Below are 22,983 nucleotides of genomic sequence, written 5' to 3'. Positions count from 1 at the left end.
TGATTTATAATCCTTTGGGTATATAACCAGTAATGGGATTGCTGGGTCAAATGGTATTTCTAGTTCTAGATCCTTGAGGAATCGCCACGTTGTCTTCCACAATGGTTGAACTAATTTACACTCCCACCAACAATGTAAAAGCGTTATTTCCCCATGTACTGTCCAGCATCTGTTGTTTCCTGACTTTTTAATGATTGTCATTGTAACTGGCGTGAGATGGAATCTCATTGTGGTTTTGATTTGCATTTCTCTAATAACCAGTGATGATGAGCTTTTTTTCTTATGTTTGTTGGCAGCATAAATATCTTCTTTTGAGAAGTATCTGTTCATATCCTCCGCCCACTTTTTGATGGGGTTGTTTTTTTCTTGTAAATTTGTTTAAGTTCTTTGTAGATTCTCGATATTAGCCCTTTGTCAGATGGATAGATTGTAGAAATTTTCTCCCATTCTGTAGGTTGCCTGTTCAGTCTGATGATAGTTTCTTTTGCTTGGCAGAAACTCTTTAGTTTAATTAGATCCCATTTGTCTATTTTGGCTTTTGTTGCCATTGCTTTTGGTGTTTTAGTCATGAAGTCTTTGCCCACGCCTATGTCCTGAATGGTATTGCCTAGGTTTTTTTCTAGGATTTTTATGGTTTTAGGTCTTACCTTTAAGTCTTTAATCCATCTTGAGTTAATTTTTGTATAAGGTGTAAGGAAGGGATCCAATTTCAGTTTTCTGCATATGGCTAGCCAGTTTTCCTAACGCCATTTATTAAATAGAGAATCCTTTCTCCATTGCTTGTTTTTGTCAGGTTTGTCAAAGGTCAGATGGTTGTAGATGTGTGGTGTTATTTCTGAAGCCTCTGTTCTGTTCCATTGGTCTATATATCTGTTTTGGTACCAGTACCATGCTGTTTTGGTGACTGTAGCCTTGTAGTATAGTTTGAAGTCAGGTAGCATGATGCCTCCAGCTTTATTCTTTTTGCTTAGGATTGTCTTGGCTATTCAGGCTCTTTTTTGGTTCCATATAAAATTTAAAGTAGTTTATCCAATTCTGTGAAGAAAGTCAATGGTAGCTTCATGGGGATAGCATTGAATCTATAAATTACTTTGGGCAGTATGGCCATTTTCATGATACTGATTCTTCCTATCCATGAGCAGGGAATATTTTCCCATTTGTTTGTGTCCTGTCTTATTTCCTTGAGCAGTGGTTTGTTGTTCTCCTTGAAGAGGTCCTTCACATCCCTTGTAAGTTGGATTCCTAGGTATTTTATTCTCTTTGAAGCAATGGTGAATGGGAGTTCACTCATGATTTGGCTGTTTGTCTGTTATTGGTGTATAAGAATGCTTGTGATTTTTGCACATTGATTTTGTATCTTGAGACTTTGCTGAAGTTGCTTATCAGCTTAAGGAGATTTTGAGCTGAGAAGATGGGGTTTTCTAAATATACAATCATGTAATTTGCAAACAGAGACAATTTGACTTCCTCTTTTCCTATTTGAATACCCTTTCTTTCTTTCTCTTGCCGGATTGTCCTGGCCAGAACTTCCAACACTATGTTGAATAGGAGTGGTGAGAGAGCGCATCCTTGTCTTATGCCAGTTTTCAAAGGGAATGCTTCCAGCTTTTCCCCATTCAGTATTATATTGGCTGTGGGTTTCTCATAAATAGCTCTTATTATTTTGAGATACGTTCCATCAATATCAGTTTATTGAGAATTTTTAGCATGAATGGATTGTTGAATTTTGTTGAAGGCCTTTTCTGCATGTATTGAGACAATTATGTGGTTTTTGTCATCGGTTCTGTTTATGTGATGAATTATGTTTATTGATTTGTGTATGTTGAACCAGCCTTGCATCCCAGGGATGAAGCTGACTTGATTGTGGTGGATAAGCTTTTTGATGTGCTGCTGGATTCGGTTTGCCAGTATTTTATTGAGGATTTTCGCATCGATGTTCATCAGGGATATTGCCCTGAAATTTTCTTTTTTTATTGTGTCTCTGCCAGGTCTTGGTATCAGGATGATGCTGGCCTCACAGAATGAGTTAGAGAGGAGTCCCTCTTTTTCTGTTGTTTGAAATTGTTTCAGAAGGAATGGTACCAGCTCCTCTTTGTACCTCTGGTATAATTCGGCTGTGAATCCATCTGGGCCTGGACTTTTTTTGGTTGGTAGGCTATTAATTACTGCCTCAATTTCAGAACTTGTCATTGGTCTATTCAGAGATTCGACTTCTTCCTAGTTTAGTCTTGGGAGGGTTTATGTGTCCAGGAATTTATCCATTTCTTCTAGATTTTCTAGTTTATTTGCGTAGAGGTGTTTGTAGTATTCTCTGATATTAGTTTGTATTTCTGTGAGATCAGTGATGATATCCTCTTTATCATTTTTTATTGTGTCTATTTGGTTCTTCTCTCTTTTCTTCTTTATTAGTCCGGATAGGGGTCTATCTATTTGCTGACGTTTTCAGAAAAACAGCTTCTGGATTCATTGACTTTTTTGAAGGGTTTTCATGTCTCTATCTCCTTCAGTTCTGCTCTGATCTTAGTTATTTATTGTCTTCTGCTTGCTTTTGAATTTTTTTGCTCTTGCTTCTCTTGTTCTTTTAATTGTGATGTTAGGGTGTTGATTTTGGATCTTTCCTGCTTTCTCTTCTGGGCATTCAGTGCTATAAATTTCTCTCTACACACTGCTTTAAATATGTCCCAGATATTCTGGTACATTGTGTCTTTGTTCTCATTGGTTTCAAATAACTTATTTATTTCTGCCTTCATTTCATTATTTACCCAGTAGTCATTCAGGAGCAGGTTGTTCAGTTTCCATGTAGTTGTGTGGTTTTGAGTGAGTTTCTTAATCCTGAGTTCTAATTTGATTGCACTGTGGTCTGAGAGACTGTTTGTTATGATTTCCGTTCTTTTGCATTTGCTGAGGAGTGTTTTACCTCCAATTATGTGGTCGATTTTAGAATAAGCACTTTGTGGTGCTGAGAAGAATGTATATTCTGTTCATTTGGGGTGGAGAGTTTTGTAGGTGTCTATTAAGTCTGTTTGGTCCAGAGCTGAGTTCAAGTTCTGAATATCCTTGTTAATTTTCTGTCTCATTGATCTGTCTAATATTGACAGTGGAGTGTTAAAGTCTCCCACTATTATTGTGTGGGAGTCTAAGTCTCTTTGTAGGTCTCTAAGAACTTTCTCTATGAATCTGGGTGCTCCTGTATTGGGTGCATATATATTTAGGATAGTTACTCTTCTTGTTGAATTGATCCCTTTACCAGTATGTAATGTCCTTCTTTGTCTCTTTTGATCTTTGTTGGTTTAAAGTCTGTTTTATCAGAAACTAGGATGCAACCCCTGCTTTTTTTTTTTTCTTTCCATTTGCTTGGTAAATATTCCTCCATCCCTTTATTTTGAGCCTATGTATGTCTTTGCACGGGAGATGGGTCTCCTGAATACAGCACACTGATAAGTCTTGACTCTATCCAATTTGCCAGTCTGTCTTTTAATTGGGGCATTTAGCCTGTTTACATTTAAGGTTAATATTGTTATGTGTGAATTTGATCCTGTCATTATGATACTAGCTGATTCTTTTGCCTGTTAGTTGATGCAGTTTCCTCATAGTGTCAATGGTCTTTACAATTTGATATGTTTTTGGAGTGGCTGGTACCGGTTGTTCCTTTCCATGTTTGGTGCTTCCTTCAGGAGCTCTCGTAAGGCAGCCCTGGGGGTGACAGTGTCTCTCAGCATTTGCCTGCCTGTAAAGGATTTTATTTCTGCTTCGCTTATGAAGCTTAGTTTGCCTGGATATGAAATTCCGGGTTGAAAATTCTTTTCTTTAAGAATGTTGAATATTGGCCGCCACTCTCTTCTGGCTTGCAGGGTTTCTGCAGAGAGATCCGCTGTTAGTCTGATGGGCTTCCCTTTGTGGGTAACCTGACCTTTCTCTCTGGCTGCCCTTAACATTTTTTCCTTCATTTCAACCTTGGTGAATCTGACAATTATGTGTCTTAGGGTTGCTCTTCTCAAGAAGTACCTTTGTGGTATTCTCTGTGTTTCCTGAATTTGAGTGTTGGCCTGTCTTGCTAGGTTGGGGAAGTTCTCCTGGATAATATCCTGAAGAGTGTTTTCCGACTTGGTTCCATTCTCCCCATCACTTTCAAGTATACCAAACCAACGTAGATTTAGTCTTTTCACATAGTACTATATTTCTTGGAGGCTTTGTTTGTTTATTTTCATTCTTTTCTCTCTTATCTTGTTTCTCACTTTATTTCATTAAGTTGATCTTCAATCTCTGATATCCTTTCTTCTGCCTGATTGATTCAGCTATTGATACTTGTTTATGCTTCATGAAGTTCTCGTGCTGTGTTTTTCAGCTCCATCAGGTCATTTATGTTCCTCTCTAAACTGGTTATTCTAGTTAGCAATTCCTCTAACCTTTTTTCAAGGTTCTTAGCTTCCTTTCATTGGGTTAGAACATGCTCCTTTAGCTTGGAGGAGTTTGTTATTACCTACCTTCTGAAGCCTTCTTCTGTCAATTCATCAAACTCATTCTCCATCCAGTTTTTTTCCCTTCCTGGCACGGAGTTGTGATCCTTTGAAGGAGAAGAGGCATTCTGGTTTTTGGAATTTTCAGCCTTTTTGCGCTGTTTTCTCCCCATCTTCATGGGTTTATCTACCTTTGGTCTTTGATGCTGGTGACCTTCAGATGAGGTCTCTGAGTGGATGTCCTTTTTGTTGATGTTGATGCTATTCCTTTCTGTTTGTTAGTCTTCCTTCTAACAGTCAGGCCCATCTGCTGCAGGTCTGCTGGAGTTTGCTGGAGGCCCACTCCAGACCCTGTTTGCCTAGGTATTCCCAGCAGAGGCTGCAGAACAGCAAAGATTCCCTCCTGTTCCTTCCTCTGGAAGCTTTGTCCCATAGGGGCACCTGCCAGATGCCAGCCAGAGCTATCCTGTATGAGGTGTCTGTCGGCCCCTACTGGGAGGTGTCTCCCAGTCAGGATACACGGGGGTCTGGGACCCACTTCAGGAGGCAGTGTAGTCCCTTATCAGAGCTCGGACGCTGTGCTGGGAGATCTGCTGCTGTCTTCAGAGCCATCAGGCAGGGACATTTAAGTCTGCTGAAGCTGCGCCCATAGCCACCCCTTCCCCCATGTGCTCTGTCCCAGGGAGATGCTGCCTTTTTTTCAGAGATGCCCTGCCCAGAGAGGAGGAATCTAGAGAGGCAGTCTGGCCAGAGCAGCCTTGCTGAGCTGTGGTGGGCTTTGCTCACTTTGAACTTCCTGGTGGCTTTGTTTACACTGTAAGGGTAAAACTGCCTACTCAAGCCTCAGCAATGGTGGACGCCCCTCCCCTCACCAAGCTCGAGCATCCTAGTTTGATCTCAGACTGCTGTGCTGGCAGCGAGAATTTCAAGCCAGTGGATCTTGGCTTGCTGGGCTCCGTGAGCGTGGGACCCGCCAAGCCAGACCACTCGGCTCCCTGGCTTCAGCCCCCTTTCCAGGGGAATGAATGGTTTTGTCTTGCTGGTGTTCCAGGTACCACTGGGGTATGAAAAAAACACTCCTGCAGCTAGCTCGGTGTCTCCCCAAATGGCCGCCCAGTTTTGTGCTTGAAACCCAGGGTCCTGATGGCCTAGGCACCGGAGGGAATCTCCTGGTCTGCGGGTTGCAAAGACCATGGGAAAAGCTCAGTATCTGGGCCAGAGTGCACCATTCCTCACAGCACAGTCCTTCATGGCTTCCCTTGGCTAGGGGAGGGAAATCCCCTGACCCCTTGCACTTCCCTGGTAGGGTGATGACCCACCTTGCTTCGGCTCACCCTCCATGGGCTGCACCCACTGTCCAACCAGTCTCAATGAGATGAACTGGGTACCTCATTTGGAAATGCAGAAAAATCACCCCCCTTCTGCATCGATCTCGCTGATAGCTGCAGACTGGAGCTGCTCCTGTTCGGCCATCTTGCCAGCAAATCCCATGGTGCCTGATTTACACACAACATTCAGTAGAGAGTAGTCATTGTTATTAGTATGGCCACACTGAGAAACATTAAATTTCATTTAATTAATGACAGGGATTTTTTATTGTTAATGAATTATCAATAATTCCTTGGTAATCTTTTGGGCTTTATCTATTTACATCCCAGCATCCCAAGGAAAGATTGGTCTCCTTGAAGTCAGTAGTTTTGTCTTATTCATCACTGTATCTTTAGACCTGGCTTAATGCCAGGACTACTCAGTAAAATGCCAATTAACTCAGTAAACATTAGTGAAATGTATAAGTCAGAAAAATAAACGATGTTTTTAGGAAGTTTGAATTGAAGAAAAGAAAAGCAACTTGAGATAGAATAGGTTTGAGAGAAAAATTTTAGAAAGGAGAAGCTTTGAGCATTGTCATAGACTGATGGAGATTCAGGGAAGAGGCAGAGATTGAAGGCAGAAAAGAGAACAGAGCTGATGAGGCAGAGCCAACAAGGGAGGGGACAGGGCCACTGGAGGATGGGACCAATGGCACAGGTAAAGAAAGAGATTAGGTCTCAAGAGATCCCTCTTTCCCTGAAACAGAAGAGCAAAGAGAAAGGTGCAAATGCAGTTTAACATTGAAGTTAAGGAAGAAAAATCCAGGGGGCTTCTATTGGGTTACCTCTTACCTTCTGCTAAGGGGAAGGAATTAGAGCTGACTGAAGGGCCTGAATACAAAAGTTTTGGAACAACTTCAGGTTACATGATCGAAGTTTCAATAATAGTAGGAAGTGAGTAGACCACCTAGCATCATTGAGGGCCCATACAAACCTACTGAAGCTGATCAGTTTGCTTGCTTGCCTTTTTGTATATTTGTCCATTTATGTATTAACTAACATTCAAAAATAAATACCAGCTGTATAGATTTGCTGGTGTATTTTCCTTAACTTCTCTTGGGGAAACAGCTGCTGTATAGTCAGTATGTGTTGCCGATTTGGAGTCATGTCGCACACTATCTCTGCAAAGTCTCTTTTCTGTTTAAATATTGGTGGTCCGCTAACACCATAAGTGTGGTTTACAGTTATCGGCCTTTGTTTTTAAGTGTTGTCTTTTTCCATTATCATTAACCTGAATTTCGCATGCATGAAAATTATCAGCATGATAAGGTGGAACTGCTTTATGGCATGCATTTAAGTAATCTTTAAGTCTTATCTGAAATGAAATGTGCTAAAACTACTGAGGTTTTTTTGTTTGTTTTTCCCTAGAGTTGGACAAGTTATAACCATCAAAGCAAAAGTTACTAGAGCATTCAGCACAAGCATGGAGGTAAGAGGCACCTTTTCAAACATCTGCCTGTTGGTGCTCACTTCTTCATTGTTTACAAAGGGTAGAGCAGGAGGCCTAGACTAATATTTGGAGTTAGTGAGATTCTCTATTTCAGAAGGCTCTGGAATGTGTAGTCAGGTCACAGGTAAATAATAAGCAGCAGATGTTTCCACTGTTTCCCAGCTAAAATTCAACATGGCCAGGCATGGTAGCTCACACCTATAATCCCAGCACTTTGAGAGGCTGAGACAGGAAGATCACTTGAGACCAGGAGTTCCACACCAGCCTGGGCAAGATAGCAAGACCCAATCTTTAAGAAGAAAAAAAAAAATTAGCCAGCACAGTGGTAAGTGCCTGTAGCCCTGGGTACTCAGGAGACGGAGGTGGGCGGATTGCTTGAGCCCAGGAGTTTGAGGCTACAATGAGCTTTGATTGTACCACAACATTCCAGCCTGGGTGACATAGCAAGACTTTGTCTCTTAAGAAACAACAACAACAAAAAAAACCAACACATTTAAACATGATACAGTACACTATTTCTACATAGAAGGATATACAGAAAGTAAACCTGCAAGAGAAAAGGACAGTCTTAATTCTTTATAAAGCATGGTTTTTATTTCTTAATTATGCTGACTCTACTATTATTCTAATTCTGTTTGTTCTCCATCCCCTCAACCTCTGACAGAAACTAGTCCCATGATTAACTAGTTTTTTAAAAGCAGGATAACTGGACTTTAGTAAGAAGGTAAATTTAGAAGATTTTTATTCTGCATCCACTTGATTTTATTTTCTCTACCATTGTGAATACTGGATTCTCAGGGGCTCTTGAGATCTCCATTCAGGTTAAATTAGCAGGAAAGGAGTTGCTGGATCTCATATTGTACCTCCCAGGTTGCTCAGGATCAGTCCCTTCAATCTCTGGGCATGAAGACATGGAAGAGTTTGTATTCATTTGTTAGGGCTGCCGTAACAAAGCACCACAGACTGGGTGGCCTAAACACAGAAAAGTAGTGTCCCACGGTTCTGGGAGCTAGAAGTCCTACATCAAAATATGGGCAAGGATGGTTTCTCTGAGGGCTGGAGGGATAATCTGTTCATGCTGCTCTCCTACCCTCCCATGGCTCTCTGTAGTCTTTGGTATTTCTTGGCTTCCACTGCATCACCCGATCTCTGCCTTCATCTTCACGTGTTCTCCTTGTGTGGGTGTCTGCTTCCAAATTTCCCCTTTTTATAAAGATATCGGTCATATTGGATTAGGGGCCTGCCCCACCGCAGTCTGGCCTCATCTTAACTAATTACATCTGCAACAGTGCTATTTCCACATTTACATTCTAAGGTACTGGGGGTTAGGACATAAGAATTTGGAAGGGGGAACACAGTTCAGTTATAACAACTGTTTTGACAGTAACCATGCCATTGGTGGTGGCTTTACCCTGATGTGGTCACTTTCTTTTTTTTTGTTTTTGCTTTTGTTTTTGAGACAGAGCCTCACTCTGTTGCCAGGCTGGAGTGCAATGGCAAGATCTCGGCTCACGGCAACCTCCGCCTCCTGGGTTCAAGTGATTCTCCTGCCTCAGCCTCCCGAGTAGCTGGGATTACAGGTGCATGCCACCACTAATTTTTGTATTTTTAGTAGAGATGGGGTTTCACCATGTTGGCCAGGATGATCTCAATCTTCTGACCTCATGATCTGCCCACCTTGGCCTCCCAAAGTGCTAGGATCGATCACAGGCGTGAGCTACTGTGCCTGGCTGATGTGTTCACTTTCTAGCAGTATCCAAATAAGCAGAATACAAAGCACTTGAAGAAAGCAGAAAGGAAATGTCGTGAAGAAAACAAGCTCTGTCAGCAAATGGTGTTTCTGGAGCGTTTATTCAACTGTGGGGCTCTTAGCCTTTGCACACAGGAGCCTCTGGGCTTGGCCTGTCTCCTGAGGGCCACACATTCTCCTGATAGACAGTCCAAATATAGATAAAACCTCCTTTACATTTCTCCTTTTCCTCCTCTTCCCTAAGACAGGCTAGAATTTCTAAAGGAGGCTTATCTAAAAGCTAAGAAAACAAAAGTAAAACCCAGTGAGTTTGAAACCACAGATTTCTGATGCTGGGGAAAGTAAACCCTAGCCTCCACTGACTTTCCAGGCCTGATCCGCCGTGCAGAATTTTGTTCTCTTTCATCTTCTGCAAATCATGACCAGGCAGCCTCTAAATTTTGTCATACTTTCTACCACCTGGTAGAAATTTCTTGGATTTTTTTCCTTAAATATAGATGCCAACTAAACATTTTTATTTTTACTTTTTCAAACTGGACATGTCCTTTAGCGTCTTCCTGTTCAATTTCAGTTTCCTGCCACAACTGAGGCCAGCCCTCTGCTAATTTGCTGAGCAGAAATAAATGACTGACTTCTCCCTGAATCCAAAGCAAGCAGGAACTCTGCTCTGTGCCAAACCTACTTCCAGGGGATTCTCAGACTCTACTGATCAGTCTCTTCCCTCTTCCCACCTCTGGAAGGTGTGTGATGCATTACTATTAATAGATGATATTGTCTCATTTGCACTAAGAGCACATTATATGAGTGTGAGTTTTTTTTTTTTTGTCCTTAGAATATGTCTTTAAGAATCAGTTTTATTGAGATATAATTTACAACATTAAAATTCTCCCATTTTAAGTATACATTTTGCTGAGCTTTGACAAAGTTATACAGTTGGATCACCACCACTGTAATATACAACGTTCCCATCACTACACGAAGCCCCTTTATGCCCCTTTGCAATCAGCTCTCTCAGACCCCAGCTTGTGACAACCACTCATTTACTTCAGGTCAGTACCCTTTTTTTTTTCTTTTTTGCCCTTTACTGTATTTTGTATAAATGGAATGATATAGTATATATAATTTTTGTGTCTAATTTATTTTACTTAGCATAATATATTTGATTTCTGCTGTTGGTTATTATATTATTCTCATTCTATTTATTTTGGGTTTAATTTGCCTTTCTTTTTCTAGTGTCTTAAGGTAGAATCTTGGGAAATTGATTAAACTTTTCTTTTTTTCAAATATAAGCATTTAAGATCGTAAAATTTTCTTCAATATATTGCTTTACCTGCATCAAAATATGTCCTTTTTTTCTTGTAAATTCTTCCCTGACCTCTAGTCTGTCTAGATGTGTGTTGTTTAATTTCCAAATCTCTGATGATTTTTCCAGATACATCTTTATGTTTTTGATTTATAATTTAATTCCTTTGCAGAGAGAGAACATAATTTGTATAATTTCAATTATTTTAAATTTATTTAGACTTTTTTAATGACCCAAAATATGGACTATTTTGGTGAATGTTCTATATGTGCTTGAAAAGAATGTGTTGCTTATAGTCAATGAAGTATTCTGCAGATGTCAGTTAGCCTAACTTGGTTCACAGTGTTGTTCAAGTCTTCTGTATTATTATTATTATTATTTTTTGAGATGGAGTCTTGAACTGTCTCCCAGGCTGTAGTGCGGTGGTGCGATCTTGGCTCCCTGCAAGCTCCGCCTCCCGGGTTCAAGTGATTCTCTTGCCTCAGCCTCTCAAATAGCTGGGATTACACATGTGCACCACCACGCCCAGCTAATTTTTGTATTTTTAGTAGAGAAAGGATTTCACCATGTTGGCCAGGCTGGTCTTGAACTCCTGACCTCAGGTGATCTGTTCACCTTGGCCTCCCAAAGTGCTGGGATTACAGGCATGAGCCACCGTGCCCTGCCAGGATTCTTAACTCTTCCTGATGTTGTGACCCTTTTATCATTATGAAGTTTGCCTTTTTATCTCTGGTTTTTGTTTTAAAATCTACTTTGTCTGACATTAATTTAGCCAGACAAGCTTTCTTTGGTTTAGTGTTTTTTTCCCCATCATTTTTCTCTTAACCTGTCTTTTTGTACATGTAAGTGGGTTTCTTATAAACAGAATATATTTGGATGCTATTTTTTTATTTATTCTAACAATCTCTGCCTTCTACCTGGAGTATTTAAACTATTTACATTTGATTATCTATATGGTAGAGTTGAAATCTATCATCTGGCTGTTTGTCTTCTATTTCTTCCATCTGTTCTTTGTTTCTTCCTGTCCCCATCTTTTCCTGCATTTTTTAGAGCAGAGTAATTTTTAGTAATCCATTTTATCTCCACTGTTGGTGTTTTAACTATACATATTTGTTTTGGTTTTAATGTTTTTCTCGGGTTTGCAATATGACTACTTAACTTATCTGAGACTACCTTCGAATAATATAATATCCCTTTGAGTATAGTGTAATAACCTTATAACAGTACACACACTTCCCTTCCCATGTCCCAGCCTTTGTGCCGTTATTGTCATGCCTTTTACATGCACATATGTAGGAGGTAAACCCTACAATACATAGTTATTATTTATGTTTTAAACAGTCAATCATCTTTTAAAAAGAATAGAAATGAAAAGAAGTATTTTATATATATACCCACATATTTGCCATTTCTGGTGTTCTTTATTCTTTTGCGTATTGTGTATCTCCAGATGTCTCCCTAGTGTCATTTTCCTTCTGTCTGAAGATATTCCTTTAGCATTTCTTTTTCAGCTTTTGTTCGTGTAAAAATGTGTTTGTTTCATCTTCATATTTAAAAGATGCTCATATTCAGTAGGTATAGAATTCTAGCCTGGCAGCAGACTTATGTAAATTATGATATGGCTTGGGTTTCTAGAGCTACTGGATCTATGGATTTATAGTTTCTAAGAAATGTGGATTTTTTCAGCTATTATATCTTCAAACTTTTTTCCTGTCTTTTGTGCTCTCTCTCCTTTTGGACTTTATAGAGTTTTAGACTTCTTGTTAGTGTTCCACGGGTCACTGATACTGTTCGTTTTTCTTCTTTCAGTCTTCCTTTCTCTTCATGCTACATTCTGTGTAGCTTCTTTTGTCATCTTCAGCTTCACTGACTTTTTCCCCTGCATTAACTAAACTGCTGTTAATCTTATCTGGTTTGTTTTTTATTTCAGATGTTGTATTTTTTTACCTTAGAAAGTCCACTTTGATTTTTTTATATTTTCCGTTCTTTCCTCATTATTTTCATCTTTTTCTCTATATTAGGAGTCAGCAAACTATGGCCTATAGACCTGTTTTTATGAATAAAAATTTTTTGTAGTACACCCATTAATTTATGTTTTGTCTGTGTTTGCTATCACAGTACATTGACAGAGTTGAGTAGTGGCAATAGAGTCCATGTGACCACAAAACTTAAAATATTTACTATCTGGCCTTATCCTTTAAGAAGATATTGCTGACTCCTTTTCCAAATCTCTGAGTTCATGGTGCTTATATTTAATTGTTGTTTTAGTATCCTTTGTTGTTATTCCATCATTTCTGTTATCTGTTGTTTTATTTATATTACCTTTCACCTAATAATTTTCTTGCATCTAATATTTTTTACTCGATGCTGAACATTGTGAATTTTATATTGTTTAGTGCTGGCTTTTGTTATATTTCTTTAAAAAGAGTGTCAGACTTTTCCTGGCAGGAAGATGTTGTTACTTGCAGATTGGTTTGAGCCTTTAAAGATACGTTTTAAACTCTTCTATGGAAGATTTAGAATACTCTACTTTAGGGCTACTTTAGCCCCTCTTCTAAGTTGGGATCTTCTGTTATGTCTATGAAGGTGTTATATATTCAGTGAAATCTGGCTGGAGAGAACTCAAAAGATCCCCAGCTGTGTGTGAGTTCTTGGAATTGTCCATGTTACAGTTTCCCAGGAATTGCTTGTTCCTCAGAAGCTGTTCTTGTCTGGGGTTTCACCCTGTATATGGTCCAGTTAGTATCAACCCAAAGACTCACAGGCATATTTCTGGAATTCTTTCTCTTTTTTTTTAGTTTCCTTCTCTGGTACTCTAACCCACAAATTTTAGCTCCATTCAATTCAGCAGAGTTAGGTTTTTCTTCTCTAACCTAACCGTAAATTACCTTCAGCCTGAGAACCTGGGAACGCAGTGCTCTCGTTGTTTTTCCCGCCTTGGGGATCACAGTCCTGTGTTGCCTATTTTCGTAGGTGTGAAAGTAGATGCTTCCTATATTTTGTCCAGTTTTCTAGTTGTTTTCACAGGATGTAATTCCAATCTTACCTAATCTCTTATAACACAATGAAATTCTCCCTGGCATATGTTTTTGAAACATTTGGTAATCACATATAACTAAGTTAACTCTTCTAGTAGAAGACAGTGTTTAGAACTTATTTTAACACTCCAGAATTGTTGCTTTGTTTTTACTGTTAGGTATTTTATTTTATTTTTCATTTGTCCATTTCTCTAAAAGCAGAAAGCTGTGTGGGATTGAGGGTTGAGAGTTGGGAATAGATAGTTTAATTTTGGCTAATCATCATCTAGTTAATTTAGGATTTACCATGTAAATACTAATTTGCATTTATGAATTGAGTGACTTAAAATGAGTCATAGATTATTGATTATTCTTTTTACATGGTGTACACAGTAAAGATACAGATACGGATATTCTTTATCGTTGATAACATAGTGCTGAGCTGTGCCTGAGATAGCTCATTATTTTCAGAAGATAGTATTACTCATCTGAAATATGTAGGGAAAAGGTTTATTAGCCAGAATCTAAAGACAAGTACCTGAGTTTACCAACACTTCTGCGAAGTGCAATCCTGAGGACCAAGCTTCAGCGCTCTTCACACAGGGGGAAATCTAGCCCATTTTAGTATCAACATAAAGTGTCTCAGCTACCTTCTTATTACTCCTGAAAAATTAATCACAGAAACAAAGCTGTAAATACATGATGCAATTCTGTCCGTGTTAGCTTGGTTATGAAACTCTGAGACTATGCTGCCTAGAGACATTTAAAAAAAGGAAAAAAAACTCTGAGAGTAAAGGCTAAAAAAAGTTATGGTACATCTCTCTGGTGGTTTTATAAGGCAGACACCAATATCTTGTTTTCAAAAGCATATTTAGTAATCATGAAATTTAAAAGAGCTTTCATATAATGCCAAATTTTTAAAAATTGGAACAGGCCAGGTGCAGTGGCTCACCCCTGTAATCCCAGCACTTTGGGAGGCCGAAGTGGGTGGATCATGAGGTCATGAGATCGAGACCATCCTGGCCAACATGGTGAAATCTTGTCTGTACTAAAAATACAAAAAATTAGCTGGGTGTAGTGCTGCGTGCCTGTAGTCCCAGCTACTCCGGAGGCTGAGGCAAGAGAATGGCTTGAACCCGGGAGGTGGAGGTTGCAGTGAGCCAAGATCGTGCCACTGCACTCCAGCCTGGCAACAGAGCAAGACTCCGTCTCAAAACAAAAAAAAAAAATTAGAACATAAAACTGTAAATACATTACAATAATTTTATATACACATGCATATATACACACACGTATTTCATGTCATATGTATGTAATATAAAATGTGTGTATATATTATGTAATATGATATTATATATGTGTATGTATTATGTGATATGTATGTGTATATATTATATATCATATATGACATCATATATATCATATACACTTATATATCATATATGATATATAGAAAAAGCTAGAAGAAAATTCACCTAAAATTTAATAATTATTATCTCTGGGTGATGGGATTACTGATAATATATACTCTGGATAGTCAGATTCCATAAATTTGACATGGTAAATAAATAATTTTTATAATCAGAAAAAAGCTAATTGTCCAGTGTTATAGAACATCATTGAAATAATTCTATTGCTTAAAAATAAATTAAAATTCTGGTTTCATTTTTAAAATGAAAGAAGGTAATGGTGCATACATATGACTAAATTTTGAATGCTGAAATCTGAACTGGCCAAGAGTGTATTTATTTATCTTTTTTTCATTTTAGATCAGTATCAAGGTCATGGTACAGGATATGCTCACTGGCATTGAGAAGCTTGTTAGTGTGGCTTTCTCCACATTTGTAGCCAAACCAGTTGGAAAAGAAAAGGTAAATTTTGTATGTGAAGATGTATCTAGCATGTAATTCAGGGACATAGTAACAATTGCATCAGAATGTTATAGAAAAAAATGACACTTCTTCTTTCCATGAGATATACTTCCCCAAGATTTGTTATTCACCAATATTTATTGCAAAAGTTATCACTCTGTGGTAACATCAGAGGAATAGGAACTTTACAGAAAAGTACCTTAGAGAAAAGACGATATAGAAAGTTTGTAAAATACAAAAAAAAATCCACATTGTTTTAAATGATCTGAAGGTCATATTGGTTTCTTTAAAATACTGCCTACTGGTTTAGTGCTTTTCATTTGTGGTCATATAACTCAAAATTGACTTAAAATAAAATCTTTTTTTAAAAAAGCAAGAGCAATTTAGCAAGCAGTTGCATGTTATAGATTAACCACTGTTAATACCTGAAGGAAAACTGTCAACATTGCTGAGTTATTGAAGTTTAAAAATAAGCTTCTGGGCATGTGGGGTGAAAACACCCTCCGAAGTGATACTTTGGCCTGATGAGCTTGCCTAGCCGGCTGCCTGGACACGATCCAGATCCACTCATCTGGAGGCTGCTGGAGATTTGCTCCTTACAATTTCTTGGCTTTTTTTTTTCAGTGTCAGGGTGCCTGGAGGAGGGTCCCATTTAGTCTAAACACTGTGATAATTCAATCTGGAATATGAGTCTTTCACTCCAAGGATCATCCCAGAGCTAGACACAGTGGCTTCTCCTAGCTCTACTCTGAAGCAAGGAGGAGTCATGTTGGTCAGGTTGGTCTCAAGCTCCTGACCACAGGTGATCTGCCTGCCTTGATCTCCCAAAGTTCTGAGGTGTGAGCTATGGAGCCTGGCCTGCACTCTCAGTCTAACATTAAACATGTTGCAAGGCAAATTCATATTGCCCAAGGGTGTTATTTTTCAAATGGAAGTTCATATCAGCTAATTCTATTTTTTAAAATGCAGTTTTCTGGGCCATATCATGGACCTACTAAATTAGAATCACTAGTGTGGAATCTTGGAATCTGTACTTTGCCAAAGCATCCCACGGAGCCTGTGTTCACTAAAATCTGAGACACTGAGATAGTCTTCCCAACCATTCTGTTTTTCCTGGCATCCCCACAAATCTCCAGACTCTTGGAAGTGAGAGAATAGGGGATGGGTGCAGGTGCCCGTATCTGAGCGCAAGTGACAAAGGAATACACCTTGCAATCCCATTCCTTTGCGAGGGGCAGCAGAGGAAGACCGTCATATTCCCCCTCCAGCCTCAGACTTCTCCCTCCAACTTCATGGACGTGTGGAATAAGAATATAATAGTCGGCCGAGCATGGTGGCTCATGCCTGTAATCCCAGCAATTTGGGAGGCTGAGGCGGGTGGATCACCTGAGGTCAGGAGTTCAAGACCAGCCTGGCCAACATGGAGAAACCCCCTCTCTACTAAAAATACAAAAATTAACTGGGCGTGGTGGTGCATGCCTATAATCCCAGCTACTTGGGAAGCTGAGACAGGAGACTCACTTGAACCTGGGAGGCAGAAGTTGCGGTGAGCCAAGATTGTGCCATTGCACTCCAGCCTGGGCAACAAGAGCAAAACTCCGTCTCAAAAAAAAAAAAAAAAAAAGAATATAATAGTCACACTTCAGTCCAATCTCTCTTGAGACTGGAGAACTGGGTTCTGAAAGTGGAAAATCAGATCCATTATGGTGCTAACATAATTGGTTGGTTCAGATAACCTTAATTGTAAAGCACCTTTCCAGACTAACTTATTTCCTAGTTGCTAATATGCTGGTTCAGCAGCTCATCACAAAGAGACCCATGAAAAATCAGTGGTTTGGTTTGAACCCATAGGACTACTTGAATTTCTGTTCACAGTGAGTTTATTTTAGGATGAAGTTGGTTCAAAGCATAATGTACCCTGATTAAAAAACAAAAAAGAAATTGGCAATGATTAACCAGACTTAGTTCAACAATTGCACAGGCCAGATCATTGAAGGGACTTGCAAGACTCCACAGGGTACACTCATGCAAAGCCTTACTAAGCTAAAGCAGATGGTGCGGAGGGAGAAAGCAAGCACAGGCCAGCCTCAGAGAGGGTGGAGGTCTCCAGGCACAGCCATGCTGCTGGGGCCTTAGTAACACAAGATGTACTTCTGCAGAACAGAAATCACCAAAACATATGCGAGGTATCTTGGTTTCAGGAGAACCAACACACAAGTTTACCAAGCAGTCTTGTATACCCTGCTAGTCACACAACTAAAACAACACTACAAAAATTGTTAAATCAGGCTGGGTGCAGTGGCTCACACTTATAATCTGAGTGCTTTGGGAGGCTGAGAAGGAAGGATTGCTTGAGGCCAGAAGTTTGAGACCAGCCTGGGCAACATAGTGAGCCCTCATCTCTACAAAAAATAAATATAAAAAAATTAGCCAGGCATAGTGACGTTTGCCTGCAATCCTACTGAGAGGATCCCTTGAGCCCAAGAGTTTGAGGTTACAGGAAGCTATGATTACACCACTGTGCTCCAGCCTGGGCAACAGAGTGAGACCCTGTTTCAAAAAAAAAAAAGGAGTTAAACCAGTGCATGCCATCAATCTACACATTCCTAACCAAATTCCACAAGGTAGTCCAGGGCAGTTTTGGACTTTAAGCAGCATATTATAAATCACCAGCTTATTTCTTATTTCTTTTTTTTTTTTTTTTTTTTTTGAGATGGAGTCTCACTCTGTCTCCCAGGCTGGAGTGCAGTGGCATGATCTTGGCTCACTGCAACCTCCTTCTCCTGGGTTCAAGCGATTCTTGTGCCTCAGCCTCCTAAGTAGCTGGGATTACAGGTGTGCTCCACCATACCCGGTTACTTTTTGTATTTTTAGTACAGACAGTGTTTCAACGTGTTGGCCAGGTGCAGTGGCTCACACCTATAATCTTGAACACCTGACCTCAAGTGATTCACCCACCTCAGCCCCACAAAGTGCTGGGATTATAGGTGTGAGCCACCACACCCAGGGATCACTAGCTTATTTCATCCTTATCTTGGCCAAGGGTCCGTACCAGACTTTGAGTATCTTGGAAACAAGCATGGAGCTACCCCAGTCCAGCTTCAAGGTGACCCTTCCTTCTACACACAGGGTCAGCAAAGGGCATTTATGTAAGAATTTGAGCTCTTGGTTCTGTTGCCTCATATTTCCAGGTTTCTGGAAGTTGGTGAAAGCTTTATTCCTACATATTGATTCTTTTGTTTTGCTTATTAGATAATGTTTTCACCATGTAATGAAATTTCCAAATTGGTATCATGGTATAAGATAACTTTCTCTAGAACATCTTTATTCCCTCTCTTTGCTTTCTTAATTTTGCAAAATTTATTCCCTCTCTTTGCTTTCTTAATTTTGCAAAGATAGGAAATGTTTAGATTTCAGTGGAGTCAAAGTCCATCTCCTCATTCATCAATATGAATAATTTCTTATTTTGTAGTTCTGTTGAAAAATTTTAAAATCAGGGAAAATAATAGAGAGAATTTTTAAAGCACATATCTTATTGCATGAAGAAATAATTACGCCTATGTTGATTTTTTTAGTTTAAAAATAATTTAAGAAAAAATTTAGTCATAACATGTTTAGTGAAAACACTCATAAAAGCTCTATTTACTTGAGTTAGAAAACCATGTAGCATATCATTTGTTTTGCAAAATTCATGCTGTGCTTTTATAATTTAACAAGGCAATAAAAGATAAATGCTTTTCTTTCTCTAGATTCATTTAAAACCAGTCACACTTCTAACTGAACAAGATCATGTGGAACATAATCTGGCTGCTGAGAGAAGGAAAGTTCGATTACAACATGAAGATACCTTTAACAATTTAATGAAGGAAAGTAGCAAATTTGATGGTCAGTAAATCCACTTATAAGAATTTTAATTCTATAACTGTGACAGGCAAAGGAGTCTTTTCTTAGAGCACACTTATTTTCACCTTATTATTACCATTCAGTCCTGGTGACACTAGGTATCCTTTCCAACAAACCCGGTGGCTGGAGAAGAAACCTGGCCATTGAGAATGTAACTGCTGACACCTAAGGCCTCTTTAAATTGGAAGATCTCCAGGAAAGGAGATGGGGAAAAAGGGTGACAGGGACCAGGCAGTCATTAGTAAGCATGTATTCACTAATGATGGCTGAATGAAGGGTTGATGACAATGCCATACATTGACACGGTGCTTCGTGGCTTACTAAGCAGTTTCTCGTCCACGGTTTCATAGGAGCTGCATGTAATCTCAACAGAGCAGAAAGCTGCAACTCTGAGTAGGAAAGAAATTTGCTAAAGATCATATGGGGTATGAGCAGAGACTTAAGATCCTGCTCCTGTTGCCTGGTGCTTTCCACAATCACCCTGCGTTTTATGAGCCACACTTCCTTAGTTCTCTGGCAGTGATTTCCTGGGCTCTTTGATGCCTCCTGGAGCCAGACTGGTAGGGAAAGGCAGAGCCCCGCCCTTGCCCCTCCTCTGCCCTTTCTTTTTGTCTGACCCTATCTTCTGAAGCCCCAAGGGGTGCCGGTGGAGAGCACAATGAGGGAGGGGAGGAAGTGAAGTGAGCCCGCCCAGGCCCCACAAGCTCACCACTGCCAAGAGGGCAGAAGGTTCAGCAACCCTTGGCTCCAAAGGAAGGCACCGGAAGAAGAGGAAGGAAAGGAGAGGACAAGAACATGTCAGAACAAGGATGTCAAAAGAGAAGGAGAAAGAGTGCATGGAAAGGCCAGAGGAAAGGGAGAGGTAGCAGCCAGTATGGCAGAAGTGCAAAGCCTTTATTCTGCCCCAGGGGATATCCTGGGACCACCCCACAGAAGACTTACGGGTTGAAAAAGAGATTTTTCAAAGGTTTCTACTCATTGCTGACCTTTCAAAGGGCAATACCCATTACCAACTTGATTTTTTTTTTTTTCTTTGAGACAGAGTTTCGCTCTTGTTGCCCAGGCTGGAGTGCAATGGTGCAAACTCGGCTCACTGCAACCTATGCCTCCCAGGTTCAAGCAATTCTCCTGCCTCAGCCTCCGAAGTAGCTGGGATTATAGGCGCGTGCCACCACGCCCAGCTAATTTTGTATTTTTAGTAGAGATGGGGTTTCACCATGTTGGCCAGGCTGGTCTCGAACTCCCAACCTCAGGTGATCCGCCTGCCTCGGCCTCCCAAAGTGCTGGGATTACAGGCATGAGCCACTGTGCCCAGCCCAGACCAAGTTATTTTTAAGGAAATGAAGACTTCATCATTAAATGACGGTGTTAAGAAGAGCAAGTCTCCGTTTATAAAGCTGGTCTCAGCACCAAAATACATTTCAAATGCATGTTGCTCAAGTAATGAAATAGCTGAACCAAGAGAACCAAGAGAAGCTGCTGAGGCACCCTGAGGCAGGTGAGACAACCATTAATAAAAAACAAAACCCTGCTGTCTCCTCATCCCTTAAATCCCAAGGAAGAAATGAAATGACAGATAAAATACTTACTAATGAGCAAACCCGTTCTATGCATGACAAGTAAATCTCTTAGGACATCTTAGGAAACTCAAGCATTTAACACAGTTTTTAATAGGCATATGCATTTCCCCTAGTTTCATTGGTCTTCCTTTCTGCAGTTATGTCTTTTAAAAAAGCTTTCTGTCCTCAATGAAATTACACTACCTGAGTTCATAAGGAGAAAGTAGAAATAAGCCACTAAACAACCAGAATTCTGATTGACAATGTCAAAATACAGTTGTTTTTCTTCTTCTTCTTTTTTTTTTTTTTTTTTTTTTTGTGAGATGGGGTCTCACTCTGTCACCCAGGCTGGAGTGCAGTGGCGCAATCTCAGCTCACTGCAACCTCTGCCTCCCAGGTTCAAGCAATTCTCCTGCCTCAGCCTCCAGAGTAGCTGGGACTACAGGCATGCGCCACCACGCCCAGCTAATTTTTGTGTTTTTAGGGGAGACGAGGTTTCACCACATTGGCCAGGCTGGTCTTGAACTCCTGACCTCAGGTGATCCGCCCACCTTGGCCTCCCAAAGTGCTGGGGTTACAGGTGTGAGTCACCGCGCCCAGCAAGGAACAGTTCTTTTGAAATCTGTGCATGTTTATCCAGAGATTCTTACAAGAACTGCTTTCATCCTCTCCAAGTCATCCCTCGTCTGAATCACATCTCAAGGTCATTCTCCACCCTTTTGCCCGGAACTCTCTAGATCAAGCTGCTGCCCACCAGGAAGAGGGTGACCCTGTGATGCGTGAGGTGCTGGCCAGTTTGCCCCGGTGCATGCTAGATGGAGTGTGTGTGTGTGATTGTGGATAAAATCATTGATAGTCATATAGGTGGAAGGACTCCTTCCCTCTCAGCAGCAAGGAAAGACTTCCACACTGACTGGTAGTTCCTTCCAACAGTTCTGTATGAAACGCCTGTCATGTGCCAGGAACCTGCTTGCCACTAGAGGTATAAAGATGAATAATGCAGGGTCTTTGCTCTTAAGAAACTTGTAGTTTAGTGCTGGAGACAGACATATTAATAGTTTCTAAATAATATAGTAAGTGAATAGAGAGCTGTAGACTCTAAGTAATGTGGGAGCCCAGAGGAAGGGCCCTTCAGGGTTCACGAGAGACTCGCTGCAGGAGGGGCTATGAGAAGAAAGTTGGGAAGGCGAGGAATTGCGTAGCAGTGAGGGTGAAGGCACGGAGGCATGAACCAGCACACTGTGTGCTGGGAAGCCACCAACACAAGAGTATTGCTAGAGAGAAAATGCAAGGTAGAGGGAGGCGGGAGAGGAAGAAGGTAGGATTGTGTCATGGAGGCTCCCTGGGCCATGTCGAGAGGCTTGGCCTTTCTTCTGTTCTTGATGGGAGCCATTGAAGGATTTTGAGCAGGGTTGGGGCATGACTGGGTTTGCACTTAATATGGTCACTCTGGCTAGAGGGAGAGAGACCAGGCGAAAGGCGAGGGGTGCCTAAACCAGGCAGTGATAGTGGGGAGAGACAGGAGGGAAAGAGTTTAAAAATACACACGAGATCACACCAACAAAATAGGGTCACCGATTGGCTGTGGGGAGAAGGGCGAGGAAGAAGGAGCATAGGCTGACTCCTGGGTGTCTGCTTGGAGCAGCTGGTTAGCAGTTGTGCCATGAACTGAGATCATGGATCTGAGGGGCAGGGAACGGCAATTTTTGGGAGGTAGATGATGAGTTCAGTTTTAGGCATATGGAGTCTGAAGTGCCTGTGGACATCCAAAAGGAAGAGACCACAGCTGGGGAGATTTCATCTGAGAGACAACTGCTTAGAGAAGTAGTTCAAATGAAGACAACCTGCAGCCCACAGGGTGCTGGGCCAAGAACAGAACCTGCAAAGCACAGGCATCTAAGAGAGGATCCAGAAAGACAAACCTACTAAGGAGACCTGGAGGGACTAATCAGAGGGGTGCAGGGAGAGCTGGAGAGAGCAGTGTCACACGCCAAGGCAGCAGAGTTACAAGAAGAAATAGTAAGTGGTCAACTGCGTCCCAGGAAGTGAGGAATAAAACCTGTCTACTGGACTGGGAATCAGGAAGGCATTGGTGACATCGGCAAGTGTGGGGTTAGAAGAAGTGTGGGAGACACTTGGATGACCTTAATTACTTAGAGGAATAATGGGATGAGGGACAGTTTACCATAACCTTTATGTCATATACACAGGCCAAAGTAAACACTCCTATCACCAGGCTTGTTTGAAGCACATGTACAAGGATGCGGGGGGTGGGGAGGGAAGTAGAGCTGCGAGCCTCATGG

General features: G+C 40.7%; 1 protein-coding gene across 6 annotated transcripts in view; it reads left to right on the top strand.

Moving 5' to 3' along the window:
• The window catches only part of ACOT12 (acyl-CoA thioesterase 12), an 85,526-nt gene that overhangs the window by 15,129 nt on the left and 47,414 nt on the right, over positions 1–22,983 (top strand). For 4 of the 6 annotated variants that reach the window (XM_017009046.2, XM_017009045.2, NM_130767.3 and 1 more), the window contains exons 3-5: positions 7,196–7,256; positions 15,117–15,218; positions 18,968–19,103. In XM_017009046.2, the coding sequence (XP_016864535.1) occupies positions 7,196–7,256; positions 15,117–15,218; positions 18,968–19,103 (299 nt within the window). Of the gene's footprint in view, positions 1–7,195; positions 7,257–15,116; positions 15,219–18,967; positions 19,104–20,391; positions 20,620–22,983 lie in introns of those variants that run through there. The other 2 variants (XM_017009047.2, XM_017009048.2) reach the window with 2 other exon arrangements.

This window comes from Homo sapiens, chromosome 5, assembly GCF_000001405.40.
Source record: "Homo sapiens chromosome 5, GRCh38.p14 Primary Assembly".
Classification (NCBI taxonomy): Eukaryota; Metazoa; Chordata; class Mammalia; order Primates; family Hominidae; genus Homo; species Homo sapiens.
Note: the sequence above shows the minus strand (reverse complement) of the source record. Positions and strands in the feature narration are given on the sequence as shown.